Below are 21,485 nucleotides of genomic sequence, written 5' to 3'. Positions count from 1 at the left end.
CAGGAGTTCGAGACAAGCCTGACCAACATGGCGAAACCCTCTCTCTACTAAAAGTACAAAAATTAGCCAGACGTGGTGGTGCACACCTGTGATCCCAGCCACTCAGGAGGCTGAGGCAGGAGAATTGCTTGAATCTGAAAGGCGGAGGTTGCAGTGAGCCAAGATCACAGCCCTGCACTCCAGCCTGGGGGGGCACAGTAAAACTGTGTCTCCCCCAAAAGTCAATTAATAAATTAATTAGAAGTAACAGAAGGCCCAGCGCAGTGACTCATGCCTGTAATCCCAGCACTTTGGGAAGACGAGGTGGAGGATCGCTTGTATCCAGGAGTTCCACGCTAGCCTGGGCAACACAGTGAGACACCATCTCTACAAAAAACAAAAAGAAATTAGCCAGGCATGGTGGCGTGCACCTGCAGCCCCAGCTGCTTGGGAGACTGAGGTGGGAGGAACCCTTGAGCCCAGGAGTTTGAGGCTTCAGTGAGCGATGATTGCCTCACTGCACTCCAGCCTGTAACAGAGTGGGACCCTGTCTCAAAAGAAAAAAAAAAAAAAAACCAAGAACAAGAACAACAAAAAAGAGTAAGAGTATTTTAAATCATTCATAGTTAAAATGTACCAGAGATTATCCTTATCCCTCTGAGCCCTTGTCCCTGCTGAAGTCCTCTCATCTGATCTCCTATCTTCTTGGACAAAGAAACACACATATGTCCCAAGAATCAAGTAATGCTTTTCAGACCAAGGTCAATCTAAATCCAAATTTGAGTGAAGGGGTGGGTGCATCCTGCCTTCAGTGATCCAGATTTACAAACCCACATGTTATAACACCAAGTTCAGAACTACCCGAGAGCAAAGGAGACGTGACTTCTGTGTGAACAAGGGACTCCTCCCTGATAGGGGAGGGTGGGCCCCAAAGCTTCATTCTAGTTTTTGTCCTATGATCACTTGAGCATCCCTCTCAATCCCAATGGCAAGACTCCAGAATGTTCCCATCCAGGTGCCACCATAGACACCTTTCTTAGGGTCCCCCCTAGATCTAGTCCTCAGGCAACACCTCTTCCAGGGGGTGGGATGGAACCTGGCTTTGCTGTCCTGGAGGGAGACAGGGGGAAAGAGAAGGAACCCGCCTGAGGCATGGATGTCTCACACAGCCAGGGCCGGGTGGTCAGGCCTTCCCCAGGCCTCGAGTCCATCCAGGGAGAGGGAGGGGGGAGGGAGGGTACAGTTGCCAAGACTGACTTTGAATAGAACTTTTCTTCCACCTCCTCCCTACCAGGATGCTTCCCTTGAGGGGCCTGTGGTCTGAAATCTGGAGAATGGGGAGCCTCTCTGCTTCCCCACTGGTATTTCCCATCTTCTCTCATGGAGACAGGTGGAATCCCATGCCCAGTGGTGGTGTCAGGGAGGAAAGTGGGCTTCTCTTCCATGTTGCTGGGAGACCCTGAGGAGGAGGGAAGGGAAGAAGCAAGTGGGGAGGAGGCACAACCCCACCACCCTGAGGGTCAGCCCACCAGGCCTGTGGGGTGCTCCTTCTGCTGGGGAAGGTTGTGACCTCAAGGATTCCCTGGCATGCCCCATGGGGTGAGCTGAGCCCATGGCACCCTGGCTTTCAGCACCCCTCAAAGGGAGCTGAAACCCTTCCTGGGTCCACAAAGTCCTGCCCATCCCTCTGACCTCATGCACCCACCCAGCTTCCACACACTGGCTTCCTGAAGCTCCCACTCTTCCACCTTGGCTGGCTCCTACTCACCCTTTCTTTAGGTCTCGGCTGAAATGACCCTGTCCCTAGATCCCATGACTCTCCTGAGCAGGCACTCCATAAAGGCTCACTCAGCTGACGGGGTGCCAGACCCCTGAGCGGGAAAGGTGGGTCCTTAGGTAACATGGAGGAGCCCTTTCCTTCTTGGCCTTCCACTGGCTTCTGTGCAAGGAATGGGTCACTTTAGCAGCCCTTAGGTGAGTCCCTTCTGGCTCTGACCATTTTTTATTTGAAATATTAAAGAGACTGCCGGGAGTTGGAGGCTTGGTGGTCTGTTTTGTGATCCTCCAAATGAACAAATCAACTGGGGTTATGATATCAATTCATGGAGCTTAAGCCCCACTCTGATGCTGACAGAAGAGTTCACCTGCACAGTTTGAGCCCCTGACATCCCTCTGAGGCAGACAAGGTCCAGACCACCAGCTCCATTTTGCTGCAGGGGAAACTGAGGCAGACAGCAGCATGGTCAGGGGCCTGACTTTGGCGTACACAGCAGGAGTTTGAGTTTTGGCTTAGCTCTTTGCTAGTTCCATGACCTTGAGTGAGCTGCTCAGAGGCTTTGAGTCTGGGTTAATTCTTCTGTAAAATGGTGATGACCAGCAGGGCCACACCCTGCAGGGCTGGGTGAGAAGAAAAGACGATCAGCCTTGCAAAGCAGCCCCACCCTGCACCAAACCCGCTCCTGCCAGCACCTAATGAACGTGGCAGCGATGACTTTTATCTGGAGAGGTACTGGCGATCCTGCCAGCTCACAGCCCGTGGATAAGACACCGGGCACTTTACATGTCTAATTCTTCTAATTCCCTAGCAAGCAATGAAGGCAGACATCGGGTCCTGAGAGGCTCAGCAAATCACCCACATTCCCTCAGTGGTGAGAGACGCCAGGACCTGGCTCCCTAGCCCTGCACTCAAGCTGGGTAGTCACACCACTCAGCCAGCGATGGCTGTGGGCACACATCACCGTGTGCCTGCCCGTTCTAAGGGCTGAACGCACATTCTCTCATGTAACTATTCCAGAAGCCCTCTGAGGTGAGAACGCTGATTTTCCACATTTTACAGATGAGGAAACTGAGGCATGGCTTGTCTTCCATCTTCCCAGGGTTGAGTATCTGATATGTGCAAAAGATCTGCACGCGTGTGCACAGGGAGGCAGGTGGTTTTATTGATTCGCAGTCATTGAAACCGCCCCCAAAGCCTGTCGCCCAGACCTGGCTGGGCCACCTTCAGAGTAGAAGAGAAACAGGGCAGAATAACGGGAGAGGGGAAACTCTCCTGGACGCAGAACTGGGTAAGACATCGCTATAAGCCAAGGAGTGACCTGCTGTCTCTTTAATGCCCCAGGATCAAGGTAACTTGAAAACAACAACAACAACAACAAAAAACAAACAAACAAACAACAACAAAAAAAAAAACATGGAAAACAGTATGGCAGTTTCTCAAAAACTTAAACATAGAATTATCACCTCATCCAGCAATTCCATTTCTGGGCATATTCCCACAAGAAATGAAAGCAGGAACTCAAACAGATATTTGCACACCGAGGTTCACAGCAGCATCGTCCACAGTAGCCAAAAGGTGGGAGCAGCTCAGGGACCGCTGACAGATAAGTAAATAAATAAAACGTGGCCCATCCATACCTGGAATATTATTCAGCCTCTAAAAAAGAAAAAAAGAAAGCAAACTCCCACACATGCTACATCGTGGATGAATCTTGATGATGTTATGCTAAGTGAAATCAGCCAGATACAAAAAGGACAAACATTGTGTGATTCCACTCATGAGGTCCCTAAGTAGTCAAATTCGTAGACACAGAAAGCGAAGATGGTGGGTGCCGGGGCTGGGGGAGCCGAATGGGGAGCAAGTGTTTAATGGGCAGGGAGTTTCAGTTTGGGAAGATGAAAACCATCTGGAGATGGATGGTGGTGATGGTTGCACTAGAATGTGAGTGTCCTTAATGCCACTTACCCGTGCACTTAACAATGGCTAAAATGAGAGAGGCTGTGAGTGTGTGGGGACAGAGGGTGTAAGGGAACTCTCTGTACCTTCCTCTCCATTTTGCTGTGAACTTAAAACTGCTCTGAAAAAAGTCTTTTAAAAAATAGTTAACATCAGGCCAGACACGGTGGCTCATGCCTGTAATCCTAGCACTTTGGGAGGCCGAGGTGGGTGGATCACGAGGTCAGGAGACCGAGACCATCCTGGCTAACACGGTAAAACCCCATCTCTACTAAAAATACAAAAAAAAAAAAAAAATTAGCCGGGCGTGGTGGCGGGCGCTTGTAGTCCCAGCTACTCAGGAGGCTGAGGCAGGAGAATGGCGTGAACCTGGGAGGCGGAGCTTGCAGTGAGCCACGATCGCGCCACTGCACTCCAGCCTGGGTGACAGAGCAAGACTCCACCTCAAAAAAAAAATAGGTTAACATCAATTTTATGTTATGTATCATGTATATTTTACCACCTTTTTTTTTCTTTTTTGAGACGGAGACTCGCTCTGTAGCGCCCAGGCTGGAGTGCACTGGCGCGATCTCAGCTCACTGCAACCTCCACCTCCCAGGTTCAAGCGATTCTCCTGCCTCAGCCTCCTGAGTAGCTGGGATTACAGGCATGCACCACTACGCCCAGCTAATTTTGTATTTTTAGTAGAAATGGGGTTTCACAATGTTGGCCAGGCTGGTCTCGAACTCCTGACCTCAAGTGATCTGCCTGCCTCGGCCTCCCAAAGTGCTGGGATTACAGGGGTGAGCCACCGCACCCAATTAACACCATTTTTTAAAAAGCTAAAAAAAAAAATTGGCTCAATCTCCCCTTATTCTGAAGGTCCTAAAGAAAAACATGCCACTTGCTTTGGGGTGCTTCGGCTCAGTGTAGACCAGTCTATCCCACCGGCCTTATCATCCTCCTGGACTTTTGCAGAAAGACATCATTGTGAGGGTGTCTTGCTGAAGCCAAGAAAGGGAAGTTGAATTGAGAAAGCAGTTGAGCTATTTACAAAGTTTACACAGCCTGGGCCCTTGCCCCGGGCTGAGCTCAGTCATTTTGCCCTGAGGACTATAAGTGGACTATTATGCAGCACTTTCTTTTTTATTATTATTACTATTAAGCCAAGTAAGTTCTTAACAGCTAACACCTGAGCTGGTGGCTCTGAGAAGCCTCTTCACTCCTTCACGGGAGACGGGACCATTCACATGAAGATCCTACATTGTTGTTTTTTTTTTTTTGGAGGTCGAAAAAGGTCACTGTTAGGAGGCTTTCTGGGCCTTTGCTCCTCTCCCTCAATTTATTACCCCTCCAGTGGCTGATGACGTACAGGGAGACTTCCACCCGATAATGACATGGCTTTGTTTATTTCACAAATTCCCAGCATTTACTGTTAATCAGACCCAGTTTGAACCACCCCCAAGGGGCTTGCAGTCTAAACAGCTCACTTTGCTCAGCCTCTTCCTGAGGTCAGGCACTGTCTTGCTAAGGCCGACATCAGCTCATGCCCATTTTACAGATGGGGAAACTGAGAATGCTAAGAAGTGAAATAGCGTAAGGTTATACAACTAACAGGGAGACAGCCTAAACTTGAACCCAACCGGAAGCCCAACATGGCCCCAAGCCTTCCTCGAACCCCAGGACTTGGCAAAGCGGGCGTCCTGGGGTAAAGCATGGCAGAAGGGCTTTGGGTCCAAGCTAAGTGAGGGTCCTGTTTCTAGATCACCTGGCCAGGTGCAGTGGCTCATGCCTGTAATCCCAGCACTTTGGGAGGCTGAGGCGGGAGGATTGCTTGAGGTCAAAAGTTTGAGTCCAGCCCGGGCAATACAGCGAGACCTCGTCTCTACTAAAAAAGAAAACAAAAAATTAGCTGAGTGTGTAGTCCCAGCTACTCAGGAGACTGAGGCTGGAGGATTGCTTAAGCCTGGAAGTTTGAGGCTGTAGAGCTATGATAGAGCCACTGCACTTTAGCCTGGGCAATGGAGCAAGATACTATCTCAAAAAAAAAAAAAAAATTATATATAGGTCCCCTTGTCTCTCTGCTGAGAAGTAACCAGATCTGGAAAAGATTTAGTCACCTTGGTCCAACTATTTCTTTCACATAAAGAAAAAAAAAGGCAATGCAGACCTTCCCATAGGGGCAGCTCTGCCTGAGGCCTTTGCAGGTACCTCTGTTTGTCTGCCCCGGGGCACAGTGGCAGATTGGGCAGGGCAGCTTGCAGTGAGGATTGCTGATGGATGAGCTCCTAGTGTACCTAGCCAGCCATTTACTCACAAACAGCTATTGAGCACCTACTATGTGCCCAGCACTGGAGGTACAACTGGCAACAACACAAATCCGGGCTTGCTCCATGGAGATGACAATCTAAATGCGGTGGAGGGTCAGCTAACAAGTGCAGAAGGTTCTCTTAAGAGCTCAAAGAAGCTCCAACCAGAAGGACTGGGCAGGGGATCCAGAAGGCATCCCCGAGTGGCTACTCCAATGGAGTGGCTTCTCCATTCAGGCAAACCTGAATGGGATAAGTCATTGGCAGGAAGATCTGGGGCCGGGGGTCATCCAGTGGGAAGGGGAGAGATGACGCGGTCAGCATGGCGGGAACACAGGAGCAGAAAGGAAGCAGGTGGGAAGCCAGGTCAAGGGCCAGGGGCACGGAAAGGGGTCAGATGCAGATAAGTGAGTGCTTCCTGGTGCATCCTTCATCCGCAATTCTTCCTTACCTGTGCTTTTGTTGCCTCCATTGCACAGCTGAGGAGGCCAGGGCCTGCGGAGGTTGAGAGTGTGCTCAGGGAGCACCCGGAGCAAAGTGGAAGCCAGATTCCAGATCAGTTCTGCTGGGAATTCCCAGCTCCCAAAAGCCCTGCTGGCTGTCAGTCCCCAGTCACCACAAGCACCTATCCTGTGTGGGTGGGCCTGCAGTTCTGGGAGATATATCAGCTGCCTGCAGCGTCCTTTGCTGAACTCACAGCAAATAGGAGAGACAGGGAGGGGTCCTTGGGAAGCCCTAAATTGAGCTTGCTGTGGGAGTCCTGGGAAGAAAGGAGCCTCATCCTATCAAAAGCCGGGGGAAGACATCAGAGTCCCTCTGCTCAGGTCAGCTGGCACAGGTGGGTCTCCAGGCCTGGGTCTCACTTCCCCAGAGGGTGTGTTCGGTTGGCCCCAGGCTGAGGGAGGAAAGCCCACCTCCCATGTCATTTTGCAAATGGGGAGTCAGGGACCTAGAGATGGAAAGACAACACAGCAAGTGAGGGATGGGTTCTAGGTCCCCTGCACCCTGCACCCTGCACCCTGGCCAACGATGTCTATTTGGCACCAGATCTGCAGGCTCATCTGGGGGACCCCAGGACCCAGAGGCAGCCGGGTTGCATCTCGAAGCTGTGAGCTGCAGCCCAGGAAGGTCCAGGTCTGGGTGGCGCTGCCCAAGCAGGCTGCAGGCCCAAGGAGGAACAAAGATCCTCTCAAGGGGTGCGGAGCTGAGGTTCCGGTCCTGCCAAAGCCACTTGATGACCCCCAAGTGCCCCCCTTTCTGCACCTCAGAGAAGAGCCCTCAAGCCTCCCAGGTCCCCTCCAGGGGCACGAATAAGCCCCAGCAGGGTTCTGAAGGGGTCCCAGGAATCTCCCTGTGGGGATGCGGTGGAGGTGGAGGAGGCTGCGGTGGCCTGGGGACATCTCTGGTCACAGGTGCTGGTGGTATGAGAGATGGGGTAGGCACCAAGCCCCCTGCAGCTGTGGCTAGGCGGGCCTGCAGGAAGGGCCAGGCAGGCTCCTCAGGGACCACAAAGAACAGGGGTTTTCACACCTAGGTGGGCCTGCATCTAGCTAGGACAGTCCCCATCAGGCCATAATGGGCACAGTGGGAGGTAGAACCATGAGTGAGAGAGGGGAGGCTTCCAGAGGCCTGGCCTGGGTCCCTGCTAGATTGAGGGCTCTGGCTATGGTACATGGATATTTCTGCTGTGGAATCAAAGGAGCAGGGGATGCTGAATATCCCCTCTGGCCCTATGCCCTGCTACCTGTCCTTTCACGGAAGGGTGTGTGTGTAGGGGGTGCAGGACCAGGCCTCCCTGGGTGCATCTCTGCCACCTTGCCCTTTGGCTCAGGTGGACCTCCACCAGGTATTCAGAACTCCAGCCCAGAAACGCGCCAAGCCTGTGGGGCCAAGACCTAGGGGGTGGGGGTGGCCTCCCTCCCGCCTGTAGCCAAAGGGTCCTCCCTTGCCCAGCCAGGCCCCGGTGTCGCTTACTGCTCTTATCCACCCCTCCTTCCCAGGCCGGTCCTCAAGGCCCCAGCAAAGGAACCAAGTTCCCGTGAGCCTCCGAAAGGCGAAGGGCAGGCAGCAGCCGCTGGCTTCTGCGCCCACTAGGAGCTTCGGATGCCCGAGTTAGGGCTGCGCCAAGGCGGCCGGAGCAGAGAGGGAGACGGGGACGGGGACAGGCAGGGACAAAGTGCAAGAGGCAAAACTGGCTGAAAAGCAGAAGTGTAGGAGCCGCCAAGGGGCGGGACGAACAGGTCCGTGGGCCGGGCGGAGCCAAGGGTGGGGGCCGGGGTCCCTCCAGGTGGCACTCGCGGCGCTAGTCCCCAGCCTCCTCCCTTCCCCCGGCCCTGATTGGCAGGCGGCCTGCGACCAGCCGCGAACGCCACAGCGCCCCGGGCGCCCAGGAGAACGCGAACGGCCCCCCGCGGGAGCGGGCGAGTAGGAGGGGGCGCCGGGCTATATATATAGCGGCTCGGCCTCGGGCGGGCCTGGCGCTCAGGGAGGCGCGCACTGCTCCTCAGAGTCCCAGCTCCAGCCGCGCGCTTTCCGCCCGGCTCGCCGCTCCATGCAGCCGGGGTAGAGCCCGGCGCCCGGGGGCCCCGTCGCTTGCCTCCCGCACCTCCTCGGTTGCGCACTCCTGCCCGAGGTCGGCCGTGCGCTCCCGCGGGACGCCACAGGCGCAGCTCTGCCCCCCAGCTTCCCGGGCGCACTGACCGCCTGACCGACGCACGGCCCTCGGGCCGGGATGTCGGGGCCCGGGACGGCCGCGGTAGCGCTGCTCCCGGCGGTCCTGCTGGCCTTGCTGGCGCCCTGGGCGGGCCGAGGGGGCGCCGCCGCACCCACTGCACCCAACGGCACGCTGGAGGCCGAGCTGGAGCGCCGCTGGGAGAGCCTGGTGGCGCTCTCGTTGGCGCGCCTGCCGGTGGCAGCGCAGCCCAAGGAGGCGGCCGTCCAGAGCGGCGCCGGCGACTACCTGCTGGGCATCAAGCGGCTGCGGCGGCTCTACTGCAACGTGGGCATCGGCTTCCACCTCCAGGCGCTCCCCGACGGCCGCATCGGCGGCGCGCACGCGGACACCCGCGACAGTGAGTGGCGCGGCCAGGCGCGAAGGGGCGGGGGCGGGGGGCAACGGCCGCCGGGCCAACCCGCTCAGTCACACTCTGAGACCCTCGGCGGGCACCTGCTCGGGGGCCCCGGGAACCGGGGCGGACTCGGGCTCCGGTCCCTTCTGACGCGGGGCTGGGGACGCAGACACTCTTGGCTCCGGCAGCCCAGCGCAACCCCTGAGGTCGGGCGCCGCCTCCCGCCTTCAGAAACTCGGGCTCCGAGCGCCGAATTCCAGCGCCTTCGCCCGTGGGCACAGGGCGCGCGGTGCAGCCACAGGGGGCCCGAGACACGCGCCCCGGCCTGGCCCAGGCTGGGGAACCGCTGGGGTCGGGCTCGCGTCTGAAGGTCCGGGACTGGGTGCGGCCGCCGGGGGTCCCCTACACAGGCAAGCTAATCTGAGCTAGCGCAGGCTTGGGCTCCGGAGGCCCTAGAGGGCAGCTTGGGCTCTGGAGGCCCTTGGGGGCGGCTGCGCCGGGAACCCTGGCCCTTTATCCCCAACCCCACCCCAGAAATAGGGTCCCCGGAGGCGAACAAGCCGAGGGGCGGAGTGGGCCAGGGATCACCTGCCCCGCAATGACCTGCGCCCCGCCCCCAGGCCTGCTGGAGCTCTCGCCCGTGGAGCGGGGCGTGGTGAGCATCTTCGGCGTGGCCAGCCGGTTCTTCGTGGCCATGAGCAGCAAGGGCAAGCTCTATGGCTCGGTGAGTACCGCAGGGGTCTGGCTAGGCACCTAGTTGGGAACAGCGGACATGGCTAGCAGGCTCGTGGCTTCTCCAGCCCCACCTGTGCCTGGGTCTTGGAGGGGTGGCAGGGTCACCAGGTCACGGGACCGGCAGGCCTCCCCAGACAAAGGAAGCAGCCCCAAGGCAGGAACAATGAGGTTCCTGCCATCCCTGAGTGGGCCCCTCCCAGACCGAGGAAAGGGCGCTATTGAGAGCCCTTCCCTTCTCTAGTCCAGAGGGGTAGGTCTCAGTGTTGGAACTGCGGGCTTGAGGCTGGACACGGAGGGAATGAATTCTCTGGCTGCTAGGTGCAGGGCAGGTGGTGAGAGCACCAGCTGTTGTGGGCTGGCCATGTCCCCTTCTCACCCTGTGTGGGTCTTGACACCTTAACTGCTCAGCAGAGACATCTCAGCCCAGGGTGGGGGGTGGGACAGAAGGGGGTTCTGACCCCTGGCTTCAGGCTGGGTACCTTGCCCAAGAGGTGCCCCAGCCCTGACACTGCCCTGCTTTGCTGCAGCCCTTCTTCACCGATGAGTGCACGTTCAAGGAGATTCTCCTTCCCAACAACTACAACGCCTACGAGTCCTACAAGTACCCCGGCATGTTCATCGCCCTGAGCAAGAATGGGAAGACCAAGAAGGGGAACCGAGTGTCGCCCACCATGAAGGTCACCCACTTCCTCCCCAGGCTGTGACCCTCCAGAGGACCCTTGCCTCAGCCTCGGGAAGCCCCTGGGAGGGCAGTGCCGAGGGTCACCTTGGTGCACTTTCTTCGGATGAAGAGTTTAATGCAAGAGTAGGTGTAAGATATTTAAATTAATTATTTAAATGTGTATATATTGCCACCAAATTATTTATAGTTCTGCGGGTGTGTTTTTTAATTTTCTGGGGGGAAAAAAAGACAAAACAAAAAACCAACTCTGACTTTTCTGGTGCAACAGTGGAGAATCTTACCATTGGATTTCTTTAACTTGTCAAAAGTTGTCACGAGTGTGCTGCTATTCTGTGTTTTAAAAAAAGGTGACATTGGATTCCGATGTCATCCCCTGTAGTATGGCGTGGAGCATCTCTGTCTGGAAAGGCCCGCCTGAGGCTTGGGCAGCCAGTTCAGGGAGCTCCCAGGCTTGGCTCTCGGCTAGCATCCTCAGAGGCCCACTCCCTTTGTGCCCTGTTGCTATTAATCGGGACATATCGGTTTACTTCGGGTACAGAAAGTGCGGTGTTGAAGTCCTCGCTGCCACTCTGTTTTTAGATCTGCCAAGACTGACCTTTGAACTTTCCTGTAGTCAATCTTCCTCGATCTACCAGATGGGAGAGACCCTTGGACAACTTTATAAACTCCTGTTTGCCTTTTTTGGATCAGCGACAGCCCCCATCGCTGTGACTATTGGGGAAAAGACGAAGCTCTTTCATAAATTCCATGGAGAGGAATCAATATCCCACTGGAAGGCTAGAAATGGACAAGATAGTGTATTTGCAATCACAAACAAAACCCTAGTGATGAAAAATAATTTGTGATGGCAGATGCTTCTGATGGTGTGATAGAATATGTTTTTGAAAACAAACCATCGAACCCCCCGCCCCACCCCCAAAACGGGCTTCCCTGTGTTTAGGGAGCTTTGGGCTAGAACTAGCTACGATTTTTAGGTGAAATGTCCTTGTAATTGTACAAAGCACTTGGTGCAGTGTTTGCGTGGAGCAGCCTGCTGCTTTCTGATGCATTCCCTGTTTAAGTGCGTTTAACATCTACCTCACAAGCCCTGAAACCCCAGGCAAAACCCACAGAAAGCTCATACCCGGTGCAGGAGTTTGCCATCCCAAGTGGCTTTTTTTCCATATGTAGCCAAAAAGGATTGCAGATAGCGTCGGTGCGTCCCATTCGAACCTTGTCACGTTTGAGCTATCTTTACCCTGTGATTTACTTTTAGTAAGGGTGATCATGGTGAAAATATTTGCAGACAGCTGTTACAGTACACTATATGGTCACCAAGTAACCTTATATTTTTCTTTATATATTTTACAAATGTAACCCCTGTCATTGAAGCAACCGTGGAAGAGGCAGGGTCGGTGATGTTTAAAAAAAGTTCCGAGGTGATGGCAAACATTTAATTTTAATGAATGACTTTTTAGAGTTTATACAAAATGACCTTAGCTTGCTACCAGAAATGCTCCGAATGTTTCGTCAAGACTTTAATACTCTCCTAGGATGTTTCTGAACTGTCTCCCGAATTAACTTTATGGGAGTCTACAGACAGCAAGACTGGAAAATCTGATTGGAGTTTTTGTCTTTCACATTCCTTTTGAAAACTCTTTGTTCGAATGCAAATCATCGACTTAAAATACTATTCTTAACCAAGGCCTGGAAGAAAGAAGACACTTGCAAAGCCGCTAAGACAGGACCACACATCTTAAACTGCTGTTCCTACCATGCACTAAACTGTTTTTAAGTTTTAAACCACACCCTAGGCTCCAGGAGTGTTCAGGAAAGATGGTGTTTGTAGGTCTCCATGCTGTTTGGCGTTGGGGGGTGTGGAGGGATCATCCGTCGACTTTCTGAATTTTAATGTATTCACTTAGTAACAAACCATGATTGTCTTAAATGCCTTAAATTATTATGAGATTTCTTGTCTCAGAGCCCAATCAGATTGTCAGGAATTAACATGTGTTAGGTTTGATCACCCTTGACCACTTCTTATAGATATTTCTTCAACAAATCATGTGTGATGCCTGTAGGAACACAACTGTACCTTTAAAATATTGTTTTCATATTGCTGTGATGGGGATTCGAGGTTCCTGTATGTGCCACTGTTTTCAGAATCTGTAGTTTTATACAGGTGCCGACCCTCGTTGTGATGTATGTGCTGTGCACATTGACATGCTGACCGACAATGATAAGCGTTTATCGTGTATAAAAAGACACCACTGGACTGGATGTACACAACTGGGAAAGGAATTAAAAGCTATTAAAATTGTGCCTTGAAATGCCAAGACCTGGTTCCCTCCCCCTGTCTTCCAGGGGTCTTTCTATTTGAGGCCTGAGCCTCACATGGCTGGGGGTTGGGGTGGGGGCAGGAGAGACGAATTTTAGCCAGCTGTGTCCACACAAATGTAGCCTTGAAAACAGGAGCCTGGGGGGTGTGAGTGTCACAAAGTTTTGCCATGACAGAGTCTTGCAGTTTATTCTCATTCTCCTGATGGGGCTAATTCACGCCATTCCCGCACTGTAACTGGCCCTAAACTCTGTGCCCCTCCCATTGGCCTCCTGTTCTCTAAAGCAATTTGCACTTCCCTAGGGGGAGCCGTGAAGCTCCAGAGCTGGTCATTAGGAGGCAGACTCGAGAATATTTTTCAAAATCTGAGTAGACACCATCCATGGGTATTGAACTCAATATAATGAACTGCAGCTAGTCTTTTATTTTTAATTAACTAATTTTTTTATATTTTTTGAGATGGAGTCTCACTCTTGTCGCCCAGGCTGGAGTGCAATGGCACAATCTCAGCTCACTGCAACCTCTGCTTCCCGGGTTCAAGCGATTCTCCTGCCTCAGCCTCTCAAGTAGCTGGAATTACAGGCATCCGCCACCATGCCCAGCTAATTTTTGTATTTTTAGTAGAGACGGGGTTTTTCTATATTGGCCAGGCTGGTCTCAAACCTCAGGTGATCTGTCCTCCTCGGCCTCCCAAAGTGCTGGGATTATAGGCGTGAGCCACCATGCCTGGCCAGCAGTTACTGTTTTATAAGGAGGAAATGGAACTAAATCTTATAGAATTAAAATCATCTGAGTGTATCAATCACAGTAAGGGTGCAAACTGTTTTGTGAAAATTTGGGTTCAATTATATACAATTATAGTATTTATAACTAGTCTTTCCTAGGAAGTACTCATGAGTGCAGTGGATTGCTTTTAAGAAAGCTAAATGCTGGCCTAATGTACCTAGAATCTGGGGTTCCCCTCTCCCTGTAAGACATATCCAGTTGCTTTGCAAAAAGGCAATCAGGGTTGGAAAATCCTTAATTGTACGTAATTTGCTTTCCAAGGCATTATGTTCTTCTACCCTTAAAAAAAAATCATTATAGAGATGGGTTTTCACTTTATTGCTCAGGCTGGTCTTGAACTTCTGAGCTCAAGTGATCCTCCTACCTCGGCCTCCCAAAGTGTTGAGATTACAGGCGTAGGCCACCAAGCCCAGCCCTTTTCTGTCCTTATTTCTTGACAGCCATGATCTAGGTACGACAAAGAAATACGTAGGTGATGTTAGAGGGTGAATTATGTCCAAAAGATCTCTTCCAAAAGATATGTTGAAGTCCTAACCCCTAGGACCTCAGTATGTGAGTTTGTTTGGAAATAGGGTCTTTATAGGGGTAAAATGAGACTACTGGGGGTGGGCCCTAATCCACTATGACTGGTGCCCTCCTACAAAGGAGGCCATGTAAAGAGACACAGGGAGAAGGCGGCGTGAAGATGGAGGCAGATGGGTGATGCTTCCACAAGCCAAGGGCTGCTGAGGGGTGCCAGCAAATGCCCAACAGCTAGGTGAGAGGCCTGGGACAGGGGCTCCCTCCCAGCCTCAGAAGGAACCAATTGTGCGGACACCTTGACCTCGGACTTGTAGCCTCCAGGGCTGTGAGATAATCAATTACTGTTGTTTAAGCCCACAGTGTGTGGTACTTTGCTGCCACCGGCGGCCTTTCACACTGGGGTGGGGAGGGGACTGCAACCCGGACGATCCAGCCATCTGGATCTGCAACCCCTCATGCATGCAGACCCTGTAGGTCTCTGTCCACATCTGTCCTGGCCAAACAAGGAATGGCTCATCCAGCTTCTGGGGTGGAAATGTACCCATCGTTGGCAAAATCGATCAGCTGAACTGAGCTTTCGTCTTGGCTTTCCAGCTCCTAGCATAGGGGGACAATGGGGAGTCAAGGACAGGTCCCAAGAGAGATTAAAAAGTCACTCATTCACTTAACATACTTGTTGAGTGCCTCCTTTGTGCCAGGCACAATTAGCGAAGGAAACAAGGATCCCTGCTCACCTAGAGCCTCATCGTAATGAGGGAGATGACAGTGAATGAGGAACACGGGCCACCTGGGAAGGTGGATGGTGCCAAGACAGAGAGAGAGCAGGATGGGGAGGTGTGGGGGTGGGGGTGGGGGTGGGTTGCTATGAAGGTGATGACGTCTAAGCAAAGACTTCAAGGTGCTGAGGGAGGAAGCCGTGCGAGGAACAGTGTCCAGGCAGAGGGAACAGCCCATGAGAAGGTGTGGGGCTGGCAGCAGGCCTGGGATGTTTAAGGCACTGTGGGATGGGCAGGGAGGAGGCAGAGTCAGAGAGGCCAGCTCCTGGAGCCTTGGAGGCCATGGTGTGGACTGGGCTTTTCCTTACAGTGAGTTTGTGCCATCTCATAGCCCTGGGATGGAGCAGAGGAAGGTTGAGATGAGATGGTCGGAAGCTGAGGAGTCCCAGGAGGAAGCGATTATGGGGATTCAGGTTGGGTATAAGGTTGCTTAAGGCTGGTGTGGTGGGGAGTGAAAAGTCAAATTAACAAAAGAGGAGATGGGGTTTCTCAGAATCAGCCTGCTGCCTAGGGGACCAACATCTTCGTGGATGAGTGCAGGGTTTGGGGCCAGCCCCACAGCTTCGTAGGTGGGTGACCCACAGCTTCCTTGCTGAATGACCGTGGGTGAGCCAGGGGACCCCGCCTCACCTCTCCTCATGATTCCCACCACCTGTGTCTGGAGTGAGGCTGGAGAAGACGATGCATGTAAAGTGCCTGTCACAGTAAGCAGTGACTGTCGTCTGTTAGATTACACCCTACTTATCCAAAGTTTCACTTTCCATAGTTCGGTTACCTGTAGTCACCCTCGGTCTCAAAATATTAAATTCCAGGGGATACACAGTTTGTACGTTTTTTGTTTTTTGTTTTTCGGTTTTTTTTTGAGATGGAGTCATGCTCTGTTGCCAGGCTGGAGTGCAGTGGTGTGATCTTGGCTCACTGCAACCTCAGCCTCCTGGATTCAAGCTATGATTCTCCTGCCTCAGCCTCTCGAGTAGCTGGGACTACAGGCGCATGCCACCACACCCAGCTAATTTTTGTATTTTTAGTAGAGACGGGGTTTCACCATGTTGGCCTGGCTGGTCTAGAATTCTAGACCTCAAGTGATTCTCCCGCTTTGGCCTCCCAAAGTGCTGGGATTACAGGTGTGAGCCACCACACCCAGCCCCCTAATGGGCTGTCTTCAGAAACACAGTGAGTGGCCCTGTGCTGGTTCCACCAGACTCAGCCTCTCAAGGGAAGACCCTGGCCACACCCTAAGGAAGGGCCTTTTCTCGGCATGACGGTGGCCCCTAGCACTGGGCTAGAAAATCATCCCATTAACGGGAAGATAGAAAAGACTGGGACATTAAGACCATAATTAAATCTTTTAAGGGAATGACAGTAATACAGTAGTCCCTCCTTATCCACAGGGGACAGGTTCCAAAACCCCACTGGATGCCTGAAACTGCAGATAGTACTGAACCCTATACAGGCATCCCTTGGTATCTGAGGGGACTGGTTCCAGGACCTCCCCTGGATACCAAAATCTGGGAATGCTCAAGTGCCCGATATGAAATGGCATGGTATTTGCAAATAACCTACGCACGTCCTCCCATGTCCTCTAAATCATCTCTAGATTACTTACAATACCTAATACAATGTAAATGCTATGTAAATAGTTGTCATACTGTGCTGTTTAGGGAATAATTACAAGGAAAAATAATCTGTACATGTTCAATACAGACCCAGCTTTTTTCCCAAACGTTTTCTTTTTTTTTTTTTTTTTTTTTTTTTTTTGAGACGGAGTCTTGCTCTGTTGCCCAGGCTGGAGTGCAGTGGCACGAACTCGGCTCACTGAAAGCTCCTCCTCCCGGGTTCACGCCATTCTCCTGCCTCAGCCTCCCGAGCAGCTGGGACTACAGGTGCCCACCACCATGCCTGACTAACTTTTTTGTATTTTTAGTAGAGACAGGGTTTCACTGTGCTAGCCAGGATGGTTTTGATCTCCTGACCTTGTGATCCACGCCTTGGCCTCCCAAAGTGCTGGGATTACAGGCATAAGCCCCAATGCCCGGCCTCTTTTCTTTTTTCTTTCTTTTACTTTCTTTCTTTCTTTCTTTCTTTTTTTTTTTTGAGGCGGAGTCTTGCGCTGTCACCCAGGCTGGAGTGCAGTGGCGCGATCTCGGCTCACTGCAAGCTCCGCCTCCCGGGTTCACGCCATTCTCCTGCCTCAGCCTCACGAGTAGCTGGGACTACAGGCGCCCACCACCGCGCCCGGCTAATTTTTTGTATTTTTAGTAAAGACTAGGGTTTCACCGTGTTAGCCAGGATGGTCTCGATCTCCTGACCTCGTGATCCGCCTGCCTCAGCCTCCCAAAGTGCTGGGATTACAGGTGTGAGCCACTGCGCCCAGCCTCTCTCTCTCTTTCCTTCTTTCTTTCTTTCTCTTTCTTTCTTTCTTTCTTTCTTTCTTTCTTTCTTTCTTTCTTTCTTTCTTTTCTTTCTTTTTCTTTCTTTCTTTCTTTCTTTCTCTTTCTCCTTCCTTCCTTCTTTCCTTACTTTTTTCTTTTTTTTTTTTCTTTTTTTTTTTTGTCAGAGTCTCGCTGTTGCCTGGCACAACAGCACCTCTGCCTCACTGCAACCTCTGCCTCCCAGGTTCAAGAGATTCTCCTGCCTCAGCCTCCTGAGTAGCTGGGACTACAGGCGCCCACCACCAGGCCCAGCTGATTTTTGTATTTTCAGTAGAGATGGGGTTTCTCCATGTTGTCCAGGGTGGTCTCGAACCCCTGACCTCTGGTGATCCACCCACCTCAGCCTCCCAAAGTGCTGGAATTACAGGCATGATCCACTGCACCTGGCCCTCCAAATGTTTTCAATCTGAGGGATGCAAAACCCACAGATATGAGCGCCGGCTGTATACACTCTTTTTTTTTTCCTATACATACCTATAATGAAGTTTAATTTCTAAATTAGGCACAGTAAGAGATTAACAGTAACTATCAAATTCAATTATAACAATATGTCAGCATCACTACTCCTATTTTGGGATCATTATCAAGTAAAATCCGGGTGACTTGAACTACTGACTCATAAGCAGGACCGTCTACAGTGTGGAGACGCTGGACACAGGCACGATTCCGTCCCGGGTGGGACAGAGCCTGGGCGGCACAGGATTCCATCACTCCACTCAGAATAGTGCATGATTTAAAACATACAAACGTACATACAAACTGGCCGGGCATGACAGAGCAAGACTCAGTCTCAAAAAAAAAGACAGCCCTTTAGGAAGACTGCTCCTCTCAAATGCAGCCTGCACTGGCTTACTCTGGTCTACATTAAAATAAGATCAAGGGCTCATGAGCTCAGAGTGTTTCTTCAATGTGAATAATTTTAAGTGTCCTCAATTCATCATTCAAGTTCTTTCTTTCTTTCTTTCTTTCTCTTTTTTTTTTTTTCTTTTTTGAGACGGAGTTTCACTCTTGTTGCCCAGGCTGGAGTGCAATGGCGCCATCTCTGCTCACCGCAACCTCGCCTCCCGGGTTCAAGCGATTCTCCTGCCTCAGTCTCCTGAGTAGCTGGGACTACAGGCGCCCACCACCAGGCCCAGCTAATTTTGTAGTTTTAGTAGAGACAGGGTTTCTCCATGTTGGTTTGGCTGGTCGCAAACTCCCGACCTCAGGTGATCCACCCACCCGCCTCAGCCTCCCAAAGTGCTAGGATTACAGGCGTGAGCCACCGCGCCCAGCCCATCATTCAAATTCTATATGCTTCTTATGAAAGGAAGGAGGGAGGCTGGACACAGTGGCTCAGGCCTGTAATTACAACACTTTGGGAGGACAAGGTGGGAGGATCACTTGAGCCCAGGAGTTCAAGGCTAGGCTGGGCAGCATAGTGAGACCCCATCTCTACAAAAAAATTTAAAAATTAGCTGGGTGTGGTGGTGCATACCTGTAGTCCTAGCTACTTGGGAGGCTGAGGTGAGAGGATCCTTTAAGCCTGGGAGTTCAAGGCTGCAGTGAGCTGTGATTGAGGAAAGTGACATCCGTGCTGGTCCATGTCCTGTGGTGGGGAAGGGGGACAGCAACCCAGCACAGACCCACCCTCCCCCAGGACCCCATGTAGGAGGGGTCCTGGATCGAGCTAGAAGAACTGGGGCCCCTGTAATGAATCAAACTGCCCAGGAGACCCAGGGACTGGAACACCCTTGCTAGGCAACACAACATCATTTTCACGCCCACCCCTGCCCCCAGCAAGACTCCTCTGCTGGGTCTCAGATCTTCCCCACTGGGAGGCTGCCAGGGTTCCTCAGCCTCCGTGGGTCCACACCCAATCACAGCCATCCCCAGCCTGTCCTTTCTTCCGTCCAGGAGGACAAGGCAAGCCCTTCCCCCCACCCACCCCTCCCCCAGCAGCCTCTCACTCCATCTAGTTGGTTTCACCTCATCGACTCTGCAGTCTAAAGACCTCTCCATCTGCACAGGACCTCTGTGCAGGCCGCCTCTCCCTGGACCTGGGTGGCTGCAGCAGCCCCTTGACTGGCCCCCCCAACTTCTTCCTCTACCCTGACAGGCCCTTCTCTAGGGGCCTTCTCACCGTGCAAGCTCCATCCTGCTCCCTGGGCTGGGATGCTTTCCACAGCCCTGCGACGCTCTTAGACTGAGATCACAGCCGTCAGCCAGGCCGTTCTGATCACTCACTACTGCCTAATGAGCTGCCCCAAACAGTGACAAAACCGCCACCATCTTATAACTCCCAGTGTGGCAGGTCAGGGATGTGGACAGGGTCTGGCTGGGTGATTTTTCTGCTTTTTATGGCTTTGAAGATCTTGGCATTGGATGGGCTCATCTGGGGGTCTGAGGCCGGCACCCTGATGGGCAAGGCTGGAGGGCTGGGCTCAGCTGGGCATCGGCCAGAGCACCCACACAGGGTCTCTCCAGCATGGGAGCCTCTCCTGGGGCTGGAGGCCTTACGAGGCGGCTCAGAGGGCTCCAGGACGCCCAAGGCTTCTTAGGGCCAGGCCCAGAAAGTTCCAGAACCTCATTCCTGCCATTGGTCATGAAATCAGACCAGCTCTGATTCAAGGGGAGAAAACAGGCCTCTGCTCACAGTGGGAGGACTAGCACGGAATGTGTGGTCATCTTTCATCCGCTGCAGAGGCTCCATTTGCCCTTCCCGGTGCCCATCCTGCCAGCTCCCTCCCCACATCCCTGTGCTCGGCCGGCTCCCGGCACATTGACGTTCTCTCAGAGCACACAGGTACCATCCGCTTGGCCACAGGGCCTTTGCACACACCAACCTCCTGCCTGGAAGGATCTTCCCCACCCCTGCACTTCACCCAGCTGGTTTTCCCAGGGCAGCTGTGACAAATGACCACAAACCAGGCAGCCTTAAACAACAGAAATGTATTGTCTTGCAGTTCTGGAGGGCAGAAGGCAGAAATCAAGGTGTCAGCAGGGCCCTGCTCCCTCAGAAGGCTCTGGGGGGTGGTCCTTCCTTGCCTCTTCTGGCTGCTGCTGGCTGCCAGCATTCCTTGGCTTGCAGCTGCATCACTCGATTCTGCCTCCATCACCACATGGCCTTCTCCTCTGTGTGTCTGTGTGTCCAGATTTCCCTCTTCTTATGAGGACACCAGTCACTGGATTTAGCCTCGTCCCAGAATTCCAGCAGGACCTCATCTTAGCTTTCATTGCCTCTGCCAAGCCCCTATTTCCAAATGAGGTTCCATTCACGGGCTCTAGGGAGACAGGACATTGGGAAGACACCCATCAGCCCACACACCAGTTACTCAGATTCATTATTAAAGTCATGATTCAAAGGTCCTTTACTCTAAGGATGAAAGAAGTGAGGCATTTGGAAGATAAAGGGCCTGGCATACAGTAGGTGCTTATTCCAGCCAGCTAGTGCTGTCATGTCCCCAGAGCCTTCTCTGGCCACTCCCAGCCCACACTGGGCCATGCGTTGTCTTATCACATACTCTCTGGCATCCTAGGTTAGGTTCCCCAGCAACAAAACCCAAGACTGGGATCCCTGAGCAAAGAGTTTGTCAAGGGAGGAGCTCCCAGGAAGAACTGGCAAGGAAAGGAGAGCAGCAGGACAGGCCAAAGAAGCGGCAATCACAACTCAGCCTGGTCTGGCCTGATTCCTCACTCCCCGGGGTGCTCTGGGGTACCAACAGCATCCTAGAGCTGTCCCACCTTGGGGCAAGGGGCTGAGCATCTGTACCCCCTTGTCAATCAGTCCCTGGCTGCAGGCTGCCCTGGGGATCGGGGAGAGTGGACCCTCCAGGCCTTTCCAGGCAATGTGGTCCCTTTCAGGAGCAGGGAAGCTCCAAGCCATCAGCAGCTGGGGGGTGAAGACACCATCCTGGGAAACAAACCACACCCCGCAGCCCTTCCTAACCCCTACACAGAGTAATTGACTTGTGAGTTACGCACCTGTTGGGGCTTGCTTTCCCTCCCTCCCCAGGACTGGAATCTTTGCAGGCAGGGGCTGGGCCCATTTGGTTCACCACCTATATAGATATAGATCCCCAGTGTGCTGCTGGGCACCTGGGAGCTGCTCCGTGCCTTTCCTGATGTCCTCAGGTGTGCACGCCCACTGGTGAGCATCTGATCCATGCTCTGGCCCCAGCCAAAGAG

The 21,485-nt window shown here is 52.8% G+C and overlaps 1 protein-coding gene across 1 annotated transcript, besides 13 other annotated features; it reads left to right on the top strand.

Moving 5' to 3' along the window:
* Nucleotides 1,076-1,611: an enhancer, noted in NCBI's record as "H3K27ac-H3K4me1 hESC enhancer chr11:69596973-69597508 (GRCh37/hg19 assembly coordinates)". NCBI's record gives its function as "activates a minimal SCP1, AML or CMV promoter by ChIP-STARR-seq in primed H9 embryonic stem cells {active_cell/tissue: H9 hESC(primed)}" and the evidence as "EXISTENCE:reporter gene assay evidence [ECO:0000049][PMID:30033119]".
* Nucleotides 1,612-2,149: an enhancer, noted in NCBI's record as "H3K27ac-H3K4me1 hESC enhancer chr11:69596435-69596972 (GRCh37/hg19 assembly coordinates)". NCBI's record gives its function as "activates a minimal SCP1, AML or CMV promoter by ChIP-STARR-seq in primed H9 embryonic stem cells {active_cell/tissue: H9 hESC(primed)}" and the evidence as "EXISTENCE:reporter gene assay evidence [ECO:0000049][PMID:30033119]".
* Nucleotides 6,803-7,726: an enhancer, noted in NCBI's record as "H3K4me1 hESC enhancer chr11:69590858-69591781 (GRCh37/hg19 assembly coordinates)". NCBI's record gives its function as "activates a minimal SCP1, AML or CMV promoter by ChIP-STARR-seq in naive H9 embryonic stem cells {active_cell/tissue: H9 hESC(naive)}" and the evidence as "EXISTENCE:reporter gene assay evidence [ECO:0000049][PMID:30033119]".
* Nucleotides 6,803-8,586: a biological region, named in NCBI's record as "FGF4 promoter region". NCBI's record gives its function as "regulatory_interactions: FGF4 | LOC109117331".
* Nucleotides 7,474-8,586: a promoter, noted in NCBI's record as "PstI/ApaI promoter fragment". NCBI's record gives the evidence for it as "EXISTENCE:reporter gene assay evidence [ECO:0000049][PMID:2188089]".
* Nucleotides 8,191-8,586: a promoter, noted in NCBI's record as "R/A promoter fragment". NCBI's record gives the evidence for it as "EXISTENCE:reporter gene assay evidence [ECO:0000049][PMID:8143853]".
* Nucleotides 8,328-8,351: a protein binding site, noted in NCBI's record as "Y probe". NCBI's record gives its function as "positive regulation of promoter activity" and the evidence as "EXISTENCE:protein binding evidence [ECO:0000024][PMID:7929190]".
* FGF4 (fibroblast growth factor 4) lies at nt 8,475-12,794 on the top strand. Its single transcript, NM_002007.4, has 3 exons — nt 8,475-9,071; nt 9,689-9,792; nt 10,331-12,794. The coding sequence occupies exons 1-3, from the start codon at nt 8,732-8,734 to the stop codon at nt 10,505-10,507; spliced, it is 621 nt and encodes a 206-aa protein (NP_001998.1). The 5' UTR covers nt 8,475-8,731; the 3' UTR covers nt 10,508-12,794.
* Nucleotides 9,576-10,501: an enhancer, noted in NCBI's record as "H3K27ac-H3K4me1 hESC enhancer chr11:69588083-69589008 (GRCh37/hg19 assembly coordinates)". NCBI's record gives its function as "activates a minimal SCP1, AML or CMV promoter by ChIP-STARR-seq in naive H9 embryonic stem cells {active_cell/tissue: H9 hESC(naive)}" and the evidence as "EXISTENCE:reporter gene assay evidence [ECO:0000049][PMID:30033119]".
* Nucleotides 11,647-12,362: an enhancer, noted in NCBI's record as "NdeI/SalI fragment; 0.7NdS". NCBI's record gives the evidence for it as "EXISTENCE:reporter gene assay evidence [ECO:0000049][PMID:2188089]".
* Nucleotides 11,762-12,362: a DNaseI hypersensitive site, noted in NCBI's record as "DH site A; the nucleotide coordinates are approximate for this feature". NCBI's record gives the evidence for it as "EXISTENCE:in vivo cleavage assay evidence [ECO:0001075][PMID:1836454]".
* Nucleotides 12,024-12,193: an enhancer, noted in NCBI's record as "53 enhancer fragment; 3548 to 3717". NCBI's record gives the evidence for it as "EXISTENCE:reporter gene assay evidence [ECO:0000049][PMID:8143853]".
* Nucleotides 12,132-12,139: a nucleotide motif, noted in NCBI's record as "nucleotide_motif; octamer". NCBI's record gives the evidence for it as "COORDINATES:motif similarity evidence [ECO:0000028][PMID:1723621]".
* Nucleotides 18,557-19,557: an enhancer, noted in NCBI's record as "H3K4me1 hESC enhancer chr11:69579027-69580027 (GRCh37/hg19 assembly coordinates)". NCBI's record gives its function as "activates a minimal SCP1, AML or CMV promoter by ChIP-STARR-seq in naive H9 embryonic stem cells {active_cell/tissue: H9 hESC(naive)}" and the evidence as "EXISTENCE:reporter gene assay evidence [ECO:0000049][PMID:30033119]".

The sequence above is a fragment of the Homo sapiens genome, chromosome 11 (genome assembly GCF_000001405.40).
Source record: "Homo sapiens chromosome 11, GRCh38.p14 Primary Assembly".
NCBI classification, from domain to species: Eukaryota; Metazoa; Chordata; class Mammalia; order Primates; family Hominidae; genus Homo; species Homo sapiens.
Note: the sequence above shows the minus strand (reverse complement) of the source record. Positions and strands in the feature narration are given on the sequence as shown.

Bases quoted from the DNA above. Each gene is read 5' to 3' on its own strand.
- FGF4 (NM_002007.4), top strand. From the start codon at position 8,732: ATGTCGGGGCCCGGGACGGCCGCGGTAGCGCTGCTCCCGGCGGTCCTG. The intron at 9,072-9,688 runs GTGAGTGGCGCG...CCCCGCCCCCAG, and splicing joins GCACGCGGACACCCGCGACA to GCCTGCTGGAGCTCTCGCCC. The intron at 9,793-10,330 runs GTGAGTACCGCA...GCTTTGCTGCAG, and splicing joins AGGGCAAGCTCTATGGCTCG to CCCTTCTTCACCGATGAGTG.